Here is a 17,025-nt window from a genome sequence, read left to right on the forward strand (position 1 = left end):
ACTTGTAGGTTTGAAAGGGATTGAATGCTATAAATCCATAAGGGATCATATGCAAATAGTAGGTAGGTGAGTACAGGGATTTGAAATGGGTGGGAATGCAGACTCAGCTTGAAGTGCGCAGCACTGTACTTCTCAAGAAAACCTTTTTAAAAGGGTAGTGACTTAAGAAGTTAATGCAAGTAAAGTAATTTAAAATAGTAAACTTCTTATTTGAAAAATCAGTGAAGAGATCCCTTGCCTCATTGTGCCATTAGAGAAGCAGCTAAATTAATTTATATAACAACCATAATCATTCAACAAATATTTGTCAAGTGCCTACTATGTGCATGGGGGTATAGGGTGGATTGCTGGGGAGTGACAGCAATGAATAAAATAAACCATTCTTGCCTGAGTGGAAATTACATTCTAGTGGATGGAAATAGGTAATAAAAAACAAAATTAATTATGTCTTATGTTTGATGCTTGTAAGTACCATGGAGAAAAGGGAAAAAAGAAAGGAAATGTAGAGTGTAAGCAGAGGTAGAATTTTTAAATAAATCTAATGACTTTGCACTACATAATTTACACAAAAGAGATAGATGTCACTTCTGTTCACATAGTACCCACTAAAAACAAGGATGATGAAATACAACACCTGATGGTAAGTTTTCTAAATCATTAGTAAGATATATGTTGTAAATGTATGTAAAATCAGTTTCAATTTCACCAGAAAGAAAAGATATTATTTTTTAGAAATGATGATACAGTTACTACAAGTATATGAAATCAGATAATATTAAAGGACATAGGTCTATCTATGTGCATTTTTATTAGAAAATATATAGAGTTGGAAATTAAATCAATTTTGTGCAATCATTAACAAATGAGTGATCAGGGTTTTTTTATGGTAATCTGGTTGGAATATTTTCATTCAATGTTTGGTTCTGAGCACAGGAGTCTGGAAATATGGAAGGCCCAAATACTCCTGCCTGTTTTCTTGCAATCCATCTATAGTTTAGAACTCATCATATAAAGTGCTGTTATTTTAAAAGTCATTCGGTCTTGACTTTACTGGCTGGAGTTGAGAGGTTTAGCCGATTTTGTATGCTGAAAAAGTAGTTGAGTCGTTTTGTTTTCATTGAGGATAAGTCAATGTGAATTAAATATCTGGCCATGCAAATAAACAAAACAAAATTTGGATTAAGAGATTTCAAAATCTATTAAGTATTGTGATTTTTTTTCAGTCTTCCAAAAGGCAGGTATTTTAAGCAGTATATCATCTAAAGGACATGTGTCCAATATTAGATTATTAAAAGAAACACAAAGTAAAGTTCACAATTATTTAGAGGCTCTCTCTGTATCTATCTATCTATCTATCTGTCTATCTATATTTATATATCTATTTTATAGATATATAAATAGATATATAGAAATATATTATATATATATATTATATATATATATATATATATATATATATATATATATATATATACATATTTTTTTTTCCTTTGAGACAAGGTCTCTCTCTGTTGCCCAGGCTGGAGCATAGTAGCAGGATCTCGGCTCACTGCAGCCTCAACCTCCTGGGCTCAAGTGATTCTTCTGAGCCTCCCAAGTAGCTGAGACTATAGGCATGCACTACCACACTTGGGTAATTTTTTTAAAAAATTTTTTGTAGAGACAAGGTCTTGCTTGTAGCTCAGGCTAGAAGAGGGCCTTTCTTAATTTAACCAAAGTAGAGAGTGTTTATTACATGCCGTATTGTGGAAAGAATTGATGGTCAGCTCTGTAAGTTTAACCACAAAGAGACAGCTTGTGTTGTCTGTTATGGGAAAGCCAAAAAAAAAAAGAAAAAGAAAATTAGAGATGCAGAGGGCTGGTTGAAGGTTATGGGGGAAACAAAGACTTCTCATGCAGTTTTTCTCTGTTAGGGATAGATTCTTCCCAAACCAATATTGAGCTTTGTTGTACTCATCTGGAAACGTCAATGGAAAGAACTAGAAACTCTGGTTGAGGACAACTGAAACTTGACTTTTCAAAAGCAGGTAGAAAATAGCATATGCTTTCTTTAAATTCCTTTGCTTTCATCCTCCCTTCATTTGCTTTACAAAATTGCCAACCCAGGAATCATTTGCAACTCTGTACCACAAATCCAGTTCCCTAGGAATTTTTCCAAATAATGATTCTTCCATTCTCTCACAAACCAACACCCACATGAATTTCACATTACCTGGTATGCCCATGCTCTAGGTGGCTCTTTCTTCTCTGACCCTGTCTTCAAATTCTCCAAGTAATTTCCTAGCATTCTTATTCTTCCATCGTTCTGGCAAATAATTTATCTAATCCAAGGTTTTTCAACTTCAGCACTATTGAGATTTGGATCCAGATAATTCTTTATTGGGGGAGGGGAGAGAGCTGTCCTTTGCAATGTAGGGCGTTTAGCAGCATTTCTGGTACTAGATGCCATTGGCACTTCATCTTTAGTTATGACAAACAAAAATGTCTTCAGGCATTGACCGATGTCCCCTCAGAGCAAAATTAGCCCAGATAGAGAAGCGTTAAGCCAGCCCTAACTTCTATAATCTCAGTAAACTTCCATCCACTCTACTACAACAACCACAAAACCTCCTTAGCACCTCCAGCATCTTGTTCTCAGTTAAAACAGCTCAACAAGGCCAGGCATGGTGGCTCGTGCCTGTAATCCCAGCACTTTGGGAGGTGGAGGTGGGTGAATCACTTGAGTCCAGGAGTTTGAGACCAGCCTGGGCAACATGGCAAAGCCCCATCTCTACAAAAAATACAAAAAATTAGCTGGGTGCAGTGGTGTGTGTCTGTAGTCCCAGCTATTCAAGTGGCTGAGGCATGAGAATCACTTGAACCTGGAAGGTGGAGGTTGTGGTGAGCTGAGATCATGCCACTGCACTCCAGCCCTCCAGCCTGGGTGACAGAGTGAGGCCTTGTCTCAAACAAACAAACAAACAAACAAAAAACCGCTTAACAGATACACTTTAAATATCAGTTTCCCTTGCTAAAGTGAAACTCACCTCTATTTGATCATCTGTATGTTTTTATTTTCCTTTTATTTGCTTATACTCGGCCTTGTATCTAAAACATGTTTTACAAAATAATACGACAATATAACATAAGTGGGAAAACAATGGTAAAGAAGAAATAAGGTAAAAGCAAGTGAAGTGAAAGGAAAAGAGTTTATTACATATGTAACCTGACTTCACCCCTAATGCAATCATTGGGGTGATTACATTGAGACTGAGCTAGCCCCTCAATGCCATTCACTAATGTAATCAGCGGGGTGAAGTTAGGTTACAAATGTAATAAACTCTTTTCCTTTCACTTCTTTTGCTTAGAATAAAATTAGACTTTTAGTGCCTTTAATAATTCCATGTTCTGCTAGCTGTGCTTGGAAGTTTGCTTGGAAACTAGCAGCTTACCTCCCACAGCTCTCCAGCCACTCCTTTCTTCCACAGTACATGCAGCCATGAACCCGAGCTATAGTGAATCCTTTCTTGTACTCACATTCATGAGTGCTACAGGAGCAATTATACCACTCTGCAGATTTATGGTGTTCTAATCTGAGGTAGCCCCTCAATAGCATTCACTAATCCTTTCATTCTGACTGTGGTCGGCCACTATTTCAAAAGTTCATTACCCCACTCAAGCCACACAATCTCTCCCTTTCACGATTAGTGCACCTGCTATTTTAACAAGAAAATTGAGGTCATTGTGTGGAAACTACTTGTGAATCTTTGCAATCCCCTCCAGCATCAAACCAACTAGGTCTATAAACATTTTTTCTTTCCTTCAATCTCTAAGAGGGCTCAGGAGTCCTTCCTGCTATTCAAGGCAAAGCCTATGTTTGATTTTACTTCCCATCACTGAGGCTGAGACCTTTTGCCATTAATTGTTTCTTTTTTGTCCTTTATTTCCAACTTTTTCTTCCTTGCTAGCCCTTTTCCTTCAGCCATTCGTGTTCTTCACACTCCTATCCAAAAAAGCAAATTGACAAACAAAAACAAACCAACCTCTTTCTTCACCACCATCCAATTTCTGTCCTCTTCAACTCATTCAAGCTCTCCAAGCAGTAGTCTACATTCATTATCTCCAACTTCTAAGATTCAGTTACTCCTCAGCACAGTGCAATCTGATTTCTAACCCCATTTAACAGAGCATGCACTTTCTAAAGGCACGGATGACCCACAGCCCTTATCTTGACTGATTCTCTCAGGGGTATTTGACATTGTTAACTACATTTTTCTTCTTTCACTGCTCCCTCTTGATTTCCCTCACATCTTGTGGATCTTTTTGTAAAGACCCCTCTCACTGGCTCTTCTGTCTCTATTCTTCCATCCAGAAAGTCACAAACCACAAACTCAAACCCCAATAGGTGGCTATAGGTAATATAAATGAGTGAAGTTGGCTAACTGAAAACAGTAAACACTACAGAGGTCAAACAACATGCCCACAAAAGTTCTTGATATTTTACTCCTATTCAAATGACAGTGCTCCCTGGAGATCCATCTTCATTCTATTGCTCTTTGGTTCTTCTTGTTCTTCCTAATCAAGCAAAGCTGTTATCATGACTTTGTTAATGACATAGAGGTCAATACCTCCAACCCTATTCTTCAGCTAAACTACAGAATTACAAGTTATGCGAAATGTCTATGGGGTGTCAATGTCTAACAGGGACACACACAAAAGCATACATCAGAGCAATAAAATAGAATAAAGAATCCAAAACCATACATGTGATCATAAAGTGCACTGCCAAAATAATCATAACTCAATGAAGAAGCTCTCCAAGGAAAGTCGATTAACAAACCCAGGTACACATAATTAGTGTCTGATAAAAGAGACAATTCAAATAGCAGGAGGAGGGAAGGACGATGGCTTATTGAGTAGATGGTACTAAAACAATTCTTTAACTACTTGGGGGAAAATAAGGTGTGATCTGTGCATTACACAATATTAAAGTAAAATTTAAATAAAGATTTAAAATAATATTTTAAAATATTATTGAACATTGAATAAATTCAATAGCTTATAGGTATTTATGTGACTTTGGCCTAGAAAAGTATTTAAGCAATGCAAGAAAGCCAAGTCATTTATTCGTTTTTAAACTTATAAACAGTAAAATTCACACTTCTTGGTGTACAGTTTTGTGAGTTTTGACAGTTGTACAGAGTCATGTAACTTTCGCAACAATCAAATTACAGAACATTTCCATTACTGTTCCCTGACCTTCCCCCTGTCAACTTATCCTTACCTTCATCCCTGGCAACTAATCTGCTCTAGGTCACTACAGTTTTGCCTTTTCTAGAATGTCTTATCAATGGAACACAGAGAATGTAATCTTTACCATCTGACCTCTTTCATAATGCATTGAGATTCATTCATGCTCTTGCATGTATCAATAATTATTTCCTTAGTATTGTTAAGTAGCATTTATTTGTATGACTGTACCATGGCTTGTTTATTCATCCATCCACTTAAAGATATTTAGGTTGTTTAGTTTTTGGTGGTTTGAATATGCTATAAATATCCACGTAGAAATTTGTGTGAGAACTGAAGTTTTTATTTATCATGGGCTAATACCCTAGAGGGATTATGTATCACATGATGAGTGTATGTTTAGCTTTCTCAGACTGCAAAATTGTTTCCCAAAATGACAAACCATCCTAAATTTCTACCAGCAAAGGATGAATATTCTCATTGCTCCATGCCTTCACTGACACTTGGTATTATCAGTTTTTATTTTACTTATTTTAACCATTCTAATTATCACTCTGGTTTTAATTTGCATATTCTTAATGGATAATAACATTGAACATGTTTTCTTCTGCTTATTCGCCATCTGTTTGTTTTCTTTTGTGAAGTGTTTGTTCATACATTTTGCCCAAATTATACTAAGTTGTTTTCTATTTTTGAGTTTTGAGAGTTCTTTATAAATATTCTGCATAAAAATCCTGTAGGAAATAGGTGATTTGCAAACATTTTCTCTCTGTCTGTGGCATGCTTTTTTGTTTTCTTGACCACATCCTTTTAGAGTTTTAAATTTGGTAAAGTCATGATATCAGTTTTTTTCTTCTGTGGATTATGATTTTGATGTTTATATATTTCTTTTTTTTCTTCTTCTTCTTTTTTTTTTTTTTTGGAGACAGAGTCTTGCTCTGTCGTCCAGGCTGGAGTGCAGTGGTGCGATCTAGGCTGACTGTAAACTCCACCTCCTGGGTTAAGTGATTCTCCTGCCTCAGCCTCCCAAAAAGCTGGGACTACAGGCGTGTGACACCACGCTCGGCTAATTTTTGTATTTTTAGTAGAGACGGGGTTTCATCATCTCGGCAAGGCTGGTCTTGAACTCCTGACCTCAAGTGGCCCACCTGCCTCAGCCTCCCAAAGTGCTGGGATTAACAGGCATGAACCACCACTCCCAGCCTGATGTTATATCTAAGAGGTCTTTGCTTAACCCAAGGTCACAATGATTTTCAACTATGTTTTCTTCTAAATGTATTATAATTTTATGTTTTGTATTTAGTCATATGATCTGTTTGGGGTTAATTTTTGCATGTTATGAAAGATTGAAGTTCACAATTTTACTTATGTGCTTACGGACATCCAATAGTTTCATCACTTTTTTATAAAAGACTATTTTTTATCCACTAAATTGACTTTGCATTTTTGTCAGAAAATCAATCACATTTGTGCAGGTATATTTCTAGTCTCTATTGTGTCCGACTGACGTATGTATTTATACTTTTTCTATTATCACACTGTCTTTATTACAGTAGCTTTACAGTAAGTCTTGAAATCATATAGTGTGAATCCTCTTCTTTTACAAAATTGCTTTGGTATTCTAATTCCTTTGTATTACACTGTGAATTTTAGAGTTAGCTTGTAGATATCTACAAAAAAGCCTGCTGAGATTTTGATCGGAAAATTTACCTATGCACATTAGAAAATTCTCTGAATTCTATTTCCAAAATAAAACACTTGAAAAAATATTCACTGCATATATGATACAAATGGCCAACATTATTAAAATATGGAGTATTACTAGATATCATTAAAAATAAATATGAATCTCATTAGGATAATTGGCAAAGGCTTGTGAGAGCTTTTCACACAAAAGTTCTGATGACCTCTAAACTTAAAAATTAAAAGACTCAACATAATTAGGAATCAAAAACATTTGCTCTATAATGGTCATTTGAAAATATAAAGCTTTGGGAAACAATATAGCATACTGAGAGAGCATCACTGTTAAGGTCTTATTGAACTTTGAGTATACCCCTACTGTCCAATTATCTGTGAGGACTTAGGCAAACTGCTGAAACTTTATTGATGTTCAGATACTTCATCAATAAAGTAGGCATAGAGTCTGGCACATTGTAAACACTCAATGTAGGCTATCATAAATACATTCAACACTGATGAGGATGTGGAGAAATGGACCATATCATACTACAGAGATGGGCCAGGAATTTGGTTCAACTTTTCTAGAAGACTGTTTGTCATTATGTATCATAAATCTTAAAAGTCTGCATGCTCTCTGACTTAGGAATTCCAAATATAAAAAAAGATTAAGGCAATAATTATAAACACAAAGCAATGTGTACAAAGAGGTTTGTTGAGATAATATTTAAAGTAATAAAATGGGAAACATTTGCATGTCCAAAAATGAGGAAGTCATTAAATAAATTATTAAATAGCTATGAAAAGTAAACCTTCTGAGGTATTAAATAAAGGTGTTTTCACAGCATATTTTATGATTAGGGAGCTATCTGAAATATACACATAAGTGAAAAATAAGTTTATGAAAACCACACTTAAAGTATGACGCTGTTTGTACTTTTTTTTTTTTTTTTTTTTTTTTTGAGACAGAGGCTCATTCTGTTGCCCTGGCTGGAGTGCAGTGGAGCTATCTTAGCTCACTGCAAGCTCTGCCTCCCAGGTTCACAGTATTCTCCTGCCTCAGCCTCCCGAGTAGCTGGGACTACAGGTGCCACCACCACGCCCAGCTAATTTTTTGTATTTTTAGTAGAGACGGCGTTTCACCATGTTAGCCAGGATGGTCTCGATCTCCTGACCTCGTGATCCGTCCTGCTCAGCCTCCTAAAGTGCTGAGATTACAAGCATAAGCCACCGTGCCCGGCCACTATTTGTACTCTTAAATGATGTATGTGCATGTAAGAAAGGATAATTATATATGTACACACATATAAATATCACACACACACATGCATAAATTAAATCGGTATGTCTGGATGGTTGGCTATGTATTAGATTTATTGCCTTCTTGGTATTTTTCAGTAGGCTCCAAATTTCCTGAAAACACATCTAATTATTATTTTTAAAAGTAGGTATAGAATATGAAGGGATGGACAATCATAAACAACATAAAGAGATAAATGGCCAACTACTTAAAGTATGTTTATTTCATAGATGACAGTGGAGTTTGAGTAGCCTTATTATTTAAAGACATCCACAAATTAATGAGAAGATCAACAAGACCCCAGTAGAAAAATGGGCTAAAAGAAAACAAAGGGCAATAGAAAGAAAGAGACAGGGAGACAGAGAGAGAGAGAGAAAGAGATATGAGAGAAAGAAAGAGAAAAAAGAGAGAGAGAGAGAAAGGAGAGGGAGAGGAGGAAGAGCTAATAAATAATAAAAACTTTATACTGAACAGTAGTCAAAGAAATAGAAATAAAATGATGTAATATTATGTCTATAAATTAGCAAAGTTTTTTTATTACATATTTGTTTCCCAGTCATATACTGTTGATAGAAATGTTGAGTCCTTTGCCTATCTTTTAATCAGGTTGTTTTTTAGCTATTGAGTTTTTTGAGTTCCTTACATATTTTGGATATTAACTCCCTATCAGATGTTTTGATTGCAAATATTTTATCCTAATTTGCATATTATTTCTTCATCCTATTAACTGCTTCCTTTGCTGTGCAAAACTTGTAAGTTTGATATAATTCCCTTTGTCTATTTTTGCTTTTGTTGCTTGATCTTTTAGAATCAAATCCAAAAAAATAATTGCCCAGACCAGTGTCATGTGGTGTTTTCCTATGCTTTCTTCTAGTGCAGTTACTGTTTCAGGTCTTAGGTTTAAGACTTTAATCCATTTTGAGTTGACTTTTGTAACGAATATGAGATAAAAGGATAAAGGTTGTTTCATGTTTCTGCATGTGGATATCCAGTTTTCTCAACACTCTTTATTAAAGAGACTGTCTATTCCCCATTGTGTGCTCTTGGCAGCTTTGTGAAATATTAATTGACCATGGATTTTTAAGTTCATTTCTGGTTTCTCTATTTTATTCTATTGGTCAATTTTTCCATTTTTATGTCAGTACCATACTGTTTTTACTATTATTTCTTTGTAATATACTTTGAAGTCAGGTAGTGATGGCAGCAGCAGGTCATCTGGAGTGGCCGCTGCTATCATGCCGGCTGCAGCAGGGAGGTGCAGCTGGGCCTGCATGCTCCATGGGTCTGGCAGGAGCTGGGGACAAGTGTGAGCCCCATTCCTTCCAAGCTGGGGCAGGAGCTCCCCGGGTGCCACTGTAGCCACCCAAGCCATAGCTGTGGACTTGGGCATCCCTGTGATCCTGGGGCCAGAGCAGGGGGGAGCCCTGCCCTCCTGGGTGCAGTTGCAGCTGCCCAAACCACGGCTTTGGACCCAGGGGTCCCTGCATTCTTGGGGGCCCAGGAAGGCCCCCCTGCCCTCACAGGCTCAGAAGTGCCTGCTCCCACTGCTTGGCTTCTGCCTGCAAACTAAAATCAGAATGAGATATTGCCTCACACCAGTCAGAATGGCTAATACTTTGGGGGAACTGTTGGGAAGGCATAATTGGTTTTGAAATGTGAGGACATGAGATTTGGGAGGGGCCAGGGGCGAAATGATGTGGTTTGGCTGTGTCTCCACCCAAATTTCATGTTGAATTCCCAAAGGGACCCTGTGGGAGTTAATTGTATCATGGCAGCAGGTCTTTCCTGTGCTGTTGTTATGATAGTGAATAAGTCTCATGAGATCTGGTGGTTTTAACAGCGGGAGTTTCCCTGCCCAAGCTCTCATTCCCTCTTGCCACCACCAGGTAAGAAGTGCCTTTTGCCTTCTGCCATGATTGTGAGGCCTCTCCAACCACGTGGAATTGTGTGTTCATTAAACCTATTTTTCTTCCCCTCTCAGGTATGTCTTTATTGGCAGCATGGATATGAACTAATTCACTTGTATACTAATACATGATGTTATGTATAAATACATATACACACATGCATAGGAGTGCATGCAGAAACTTCTCTTTTTTTCAAACCGGCGTGGATGTATGATTTAAAATTTAAAATGCTGGAAGACCATTGCTCTGAAGTTTTTCAAGGGCAAGAAATATGCCTTATTTATTCAGAACATATAGCATAGTGTTGGGCACACAGGTGACTTTGTTGAATTTAACCAAAATTAAAATTTTAGCAAACTCCTATTCCTGTCTATAAAGGTATTTGTGAAGTGTTTAAAGATTTGGATTAGGAGAGAAAATTATCTTGCCTACTAAACTTGATGTGTATGAGAGTTAGCGAGAATTTGAGAAAGAAATGGAAAGTAATAGAGAAGAAAATTAATGCTAAGAGAACTTTCATGATTGCAAATGTTTTTTAAAATCATGAGGAATGCAGTTTTAACAGATGTATCTTTGTAGTTTGCCAAATGTAGCTAAAATGCAACATTGTCATAGACTAGAAGATCTATGAGGATTTATAAAAGGGAGTAGTTATTTTTAAAGCAAATGAAATTTTGAAGGTAAAGTATGTTTGGTAACCTCAATTCTCCAAGCTCAGAACTACAAAAGTCCTTTCAAAATTCCCTTTACAAGGAGCTGCCCCAATTTATATAGTATTTATATATGCCTTGGGGTATCTGTCAATCAGTTTCAATTACTAATCTGAAAAAAGGGGCCAGAAGTCTAAACCAGAGAGAATTCCAGTGAAATAAGTGTGATTATCATATAGCAAATGGCTCTCCCAATTTTAATAAAATTGTAACTCCTGTTATTTACAATTCCAGATGAAGAATGCAGAAAAAATGTAAAGAAAAACCATCTTTATGATTTGTGTAAGGATGAATGGATACACAAATGAATAAAAGATTTACAAGCTATATGTATTTTAGCATTGTTTTCAGGGTAGAGTTGAATGTATGTATTTGCATATAACGTGAGATAGTTGGAAGGAATTTTTCCTCTCCTAATTAGTTTTTTAAAAAGTCTTCATGAACATGATGAATTTAGGAGCCTCTCTAGGATTTTTTTCCTTATAAAATATAATAGTCCTATCTTTTCTGCTGCTTCTCTATTTTTAGCACAGCTGATTCCAATTTAGTTGTTTCTTTAGATTTTTAACATCAAGCCAAAATAAATATCTACAAATTTGTGTTACTCTTGGACAATTCTTTCTTACTCTAAGGCATACATTTCCTGAAACAAAGTTATTTTTATATCACTCGTGATTATCTTTAAAAATCAAAAGAAGAAAATGTATAGTATGAGAGATTTCTCATTAAGAAAAAAATTAAAACTAAGGTATGGGACTGTAATTTAGAACACCTAAAATAACTCCATAAAATTCTTTTTTTTTTCAGTGATCATTTTAAAAGCTTTAATTAATATGCACATGAATAATATATTCTCTTCACAAAATACTATCCTAAGGGAAATTGACTAAAGATAATATTGGTACTCAGTTTCAATATCTAATTCCAGCTTAACACTTAATTTTTAGACAGCTATCTGTATGTATACTTATTGTCTACATACAAGAGAAAGGATACCAATAAATATTTATTTGACAGTAATTCTGAAATTCAGATAGAAGCCCTAAGGACCTTGGTTTCAGAGTCTATCCTTATCTTCCTACTCCACCCTCTTCCCATTACCATTTTGAATTATTAGGTTGTTCAATAAATAAGGCAAATGCTTGAAAGTTTGACACCAATCCATACTAATGACTGCGGTTGCACATTGGAATCCACTTGAATTGTTATTTCCTTTGTGTTGACACTACTCTACACAGCTTACAGGCTTGGCTGGTAAATTTTCAAGTAGGTCATTCTTCATCTGCATGTTTCAGATTCTCTATGAGTGAGAGAGAACATGCGGTGTTTGGTTTTTTGTCCTTGTGATATTTTGCTGAGAATGATGGTTTCCAGTTTCATCTATGTCCCTACAAAGGACATGAACTCATTATTTTTTATGGCTGCATAGTATTTCATGGTGTGACACCCTAACATCACAATTAAAAGAACTAGAAAAGCAAGAGCAAACACATTCAAAAGCTAGCAGAAGGCAAGAAATAACTAAGATCAGAGCATAACTGAAGGAAATAGAGACACAAAAAACCCTTCAAAAAATTAATGAATCCAGGAGCTGGTTTTTTGAAAAGATCAACAAAATTGATACACCGCTAGCAAGACTAATAAAGAAGAAAAGAGAGAAGACTCAAATAGACGCAATAAAAAATGATAAAGGGGATATCACCACCGATCCCACAGAAACACAAACTACCATCAGAGAATACTATAAACACCTCTACACAAATAAACTAGAAAATCTAGAAGAAGTGGATAAATTCCTCGACACATACATCCTCCCAAGACGAAACCAGGAAGAAGTTGAATCTCTGAATAGACCAATAACAGGCTCTGAAATTGAGGCAACAATCAATAGCTTACCAACCAAAAAAAGTCCAGGACCAGATGGATTCACAGCCGAATTCTACCAGAGGTACAAAGAGGAGCTGGTACCATTCCTTCTGAAACTATTCCAATCAAGAGAAAAAGAGGGAATCCTCCCTAACTCATTTTATGAGGCCAGCATCATCCTGATACCAAAGCCTGGCAGAGACACAACCAAAAAAGGGAATTTTAGACCAATATCCTTGATGAACATCGATGCAAAAATCCTCAATAAAATACTGGCAAACCGAATCCAGCAGCACATCAAAAAGCTTATCCACCATGATCAAGTGGGCTTCATCCCTGGGATGCAAGGCTGGTTCAACATATGCAAATCAATAAATGTAATCCAGCATATAAACAGAACCAAAGACAAAAACCACATGATTATCTCAATAGATGCAGAAAAGGCCTTTGACAAAATTCAACAACAATTCATGCTAAAAACTTTCAATAAATTAGGTATTGATGGGACGTATCTCAAAATAATAAGAGCTATCTATGACAAACCCACAGCCAATATCATACTGAATGGGCAAAAACTGGAAGGATTCCCTTTGAAAACTGGCACAAGACAGGGATGCCCTCTCTCACCGCTCCTATTCAACATAGTGTTGGAAGTTCTGGCCAGGGTGATCAGGCAGGAGAAGGAAATAAAGGATATTCAATTAGGAAAAGAGGAAGTCAAATTGTCCCTGTTTGCAGATGACATGATTGTATATCTAGAAAACCCCATCATCTCAGCCCAAAATCTCCTCAAGCTGATAAGCAACTTCAGCAAAGTCTCAGGATACAAAATCAATGTACAAAAATCACAAGCATTCTTATACACCAATAACAGACAAACAGAGAGCCAAATCATGAGTGAATTCCCATTCACAATTGCTTCAAAGAGAATAAAATACCTAGGAATCCAACTTACAAGGGATGTGAAAATTCTTATTTTCCCTAAAATGATTTTTCAAGGCAGGATAATATGGTATATTTTAAATGTGAACATTTCAGAAATTTTCTTCAACAGGGGTTTGATCTCCATTTGTCAACATTGTGTAACTTTCTTTTACATCCAGTAGAGTTGGTAGCTTCAACATTTCTGTTAAATAGAAATCATAAGTATTGAAAAAATGCCTACAGTTTTATGCCTCATTTTATGTGTAGGTGTTTTATTTTTTAAGTCACTGAAGAAAAAAATATGGCATGAATAACAGTTGTAAATACAAAAGTTCAATTAGAATAACTACTCATTTCCAAACTCACTTTCCTAATCGTTTTCACCCTCCAATCTCAAATTGATGGAGGAGCTATTCTGCTTTGAAAGCCAATCCTCCATTTACACTGTAGCAATGGGAATCCCTTACTTAGCCATCTTTACTGACAATCTCATAAGGTTAAAGGACATAACAAAGTGCTGAGAAGCCAAGCTGCTCCATGCTCACATTGTGTGCCCTGTGTTGAAACTTCCAGAGGTTTATTGATGCAGTGGGACTAGAAAAATGAGAGCAGAACCAATTTTCTCCCTGGCCTTCACCCTTTCTCACAGACCACAAGCTAACCACTGTTATTGAAAGGACACAAGAATTTTTCTCTTCTGTTTTTTGTCAAGCTAAAATAATGATATTTCTTTTTTTCTATTCAAGGATGCTTTGGTAGGTTCAATATAAACCTTAGCAGCATATTGCTTATGTTTAAGACAAGTAGTTTATTTTCTTATTTTTCTCTATTACTGATACGGGACTAGTAAGAGTATTAAAATAATCTTGTATGTGAGTTTGAAGGCTTTCTAGCAAGTTGATAAGTGTAAGAAAACTTTTTATAAATGGGGAAATATAAGACAATAAATGTTACTGTTTTCAACATATCTGTTACAGAAGATTTGCATTGATAAAAATTAATACAACATATAATGAATCCTGTCTAGGAAACAATGAATTCTTCTTATAACTGTAAATTTTGAAGCAAAAGTAAAGAAAGAAAATAAGGTAAAAATAAGATGTATCCAGTGAAATTTATCATCTCATCAAAGGTTGTATTGCTTTCTCAAGTAAAGGAAATTCTGTGCTTTATAAAATCAAAACTAGATGTATTCCATTAAGACAAGGGCTGAAAACTGGCAACCTGAGAACTGAAATATGTTTGTTTTGGCCCTCATAATATTTACTAAAATTAAATTTGCTGAATTTCTACTACTTCCCATTTTTTACTCTGTGCTGATGCACATTTTTTGGTATCTATCTGTTTCTGAAGTCATCTGAGTTTGTGACGTCTGCTTTAGAAAGTTGCTATTGAATGAGTTTAAAAAAACTGAAAAGTGTGTAGGACAGATTCTTTTATATATTACTGGTGAACATGTAAATTCTTTACAATACTTTTGGAATATGTTTAGAAATATTTGTTAAAACACTAATTCCTTTGAATCTTCCATATGTCTGCAGCCATTCTACAGAAGGACTCATACAGGTGCATAGAGAATGTTCACTGACACATTGGTTGTGAGTAAAAAATTGAAAAAACTTCTGAATATCTATCAATAAGGTGTTGATTTAATAAACTATCATAAATTCTTATAAAGAAATATTATATAGCTCTTTAATAAAAAAATAAAGTGGTTCTAATATACACTGACATGGAAAAACATCAAGTAAATATTAAGTGAAAAAAGAAAGTGGTGAAATATTTTCAAGTTTCTTTAAAAAACAATCCCATAATATTAAAATAATAATATCTTAGTACATTAATAATATTTATCAAACTGATAATAGAAGTTGTCCTTGATTGGATGGGATTATAGTGGGTTTCTTATATTCTAAACCTATATTTCTGTAACATTTAAATTATTAAAGCAAGTATATATAACACATAATAAAAAGTGTAAATGCAGATGTTTAAGTCACCAAAACTTTCTATAAAAAATTATCAGATGAGAAACCACTTTTCTATATTATACTTGAGACTTGGCTTGGCTATTGATACTGTAAGAATAATGGTATGTAATATAGTCCAAATTTAAATACTTGTTAGTTATGTTTACCAGCTTTTTGATGTTTGTTTTCTTATTTAAATAAAATGCATTTTTAGAGATATAGGTAAAATTGCTAAATATGACTCATCCTTAGGAGGAAGAAAAACACTTAAATATTTAGATACATATTTTTTGTAAACATAAGAAGAGAAATATTTGGAGCTTCATGAAAAGTAGTATGCTGGGGACTAGGTATATTCTAAATACTTTAGCTTGTTCTTTTTTTTTTTTTCTTTGACCTACATTTTAAAACTCTGTAATAACCTGTTCTGGGAGGAAAAAAAGAACATATTCCTTCTGCTGCTAGGAAGAAAACCTTGTCATCTCAGCCTTAATCACAAACTAGGCAGTGGGTTACAAATAAGCTTGGCAAAATTTAGATGCCCTTTCCTTGTAGACCATTTAGTCTACAAATGGACAGATGATATACAAGATGGCCTTCCGTCATCAAGGATAGAATCAAGAATGAGGCAAGCTTACTTGCAGGGAAAGGAATTTGTGTGCTGGCCTTGGCAAATTTTATGTCTGACGTGATCACAATGACAGGTTTATTGCTATGATGAGAGAGAATAAAAATCTTGCTGGCCTAGAGAGGAACTTGAAAATGAAGAGGGGAACACAGTCTGGAAAATGAGATCATGGCTTGGACTACTGTCATCATTATCAATAGCAAACATATTGAGAACCTGCTAGATGAAAGAAACTAAATTAAGTATGGTGAGGCTGATGTTATAAAATCCACATGGGAAGCTGACAGTATGATATATAGTTACACTGTTGATTTAATGCCATATTTAGTCATTCTAGAAACACCAGAATTATTAGGATTTGAAAATTTCTGTTTCCCACGAAACAATGACTTCTCTTCTCAGAAAAATGTACACAAAAGTTTGCAAGTAAAATCAGAGGTCATTCATCCATAGTTCCCTGGTTCTACTTTAAAATAATGTTCTTAACACTAGAGATATGAAGGACAGTCTGGTTTTGAACTCCAAGCTATATGCACATTTGTGTGCCAATAATATACTTCCAAAGCCATTGTAACTAAATCTCAACCAAATATTGTCAACACAACTGTTCTAAGCTTTTTTCAGTTTAAATATAATAGCGTCTTATGTATTCTATTTGTTATTAGTTCAGTACTGGCAGCCTCAGAGTTTGAAAATGCAGATTCATCTGACCTCAGATTACTCTTGTTAACCTAGTTATAAATATTAACCATGCTTAAACAAGTTTCTTCCAAGTGCATCTGATTATGGTTTTTATTTCTTTCCTAAGAGT

At 35.2% G+C, this 17,025-nt stretch overlaps 1 protein-coding gene across 3 annotated transcripts in view, besides 1 other annotated feature; it reads left to right on the forward strand.

Annotated features, from left to right (window-relative positions):
* Positions 1-17,025, forward strand: part of CSRNP3 (cysteine and serine rich nuclear protein 3) — a 219,710-nt gene that overhangs the window by 49,656 nt on the left and 153,029 nt on the right. The gene's annotated exons all lie outside the window — the stretch shown is intronic.
* Positions 9,662-10,294: an enhancer, noted in NCBI's record as "NANOG-H3K27ac-H3K4me1 hESC enhancer chr2:166385525-166386157 (GRCh37/hg19 assembly coordinates)". NCBI's record gives its function as "activates a minimal SCP1, AML or CMV promoter by ChIP-STARR-seq in primed H9 embryonic stem cells {active_cell/tissue: H9 hESC(primed)}" and the evidence as "EXISTENCE:reporter gene assay evidence [ECO:0000049][PMID:30033119]".

The sequence above is a fragment of the Homo sapiens genome, chromosome 2, assembly GCF_000001405.40.
Source record: "Homo sapiens chromosome 2, GRCh38.p14 Primary Assembly".
NCBI classification, from domain to species: Eukaryota; Metazoa; Chordata; class Mammalia; order Primates; family Hominidae; genus Homo; species Homo sapiens.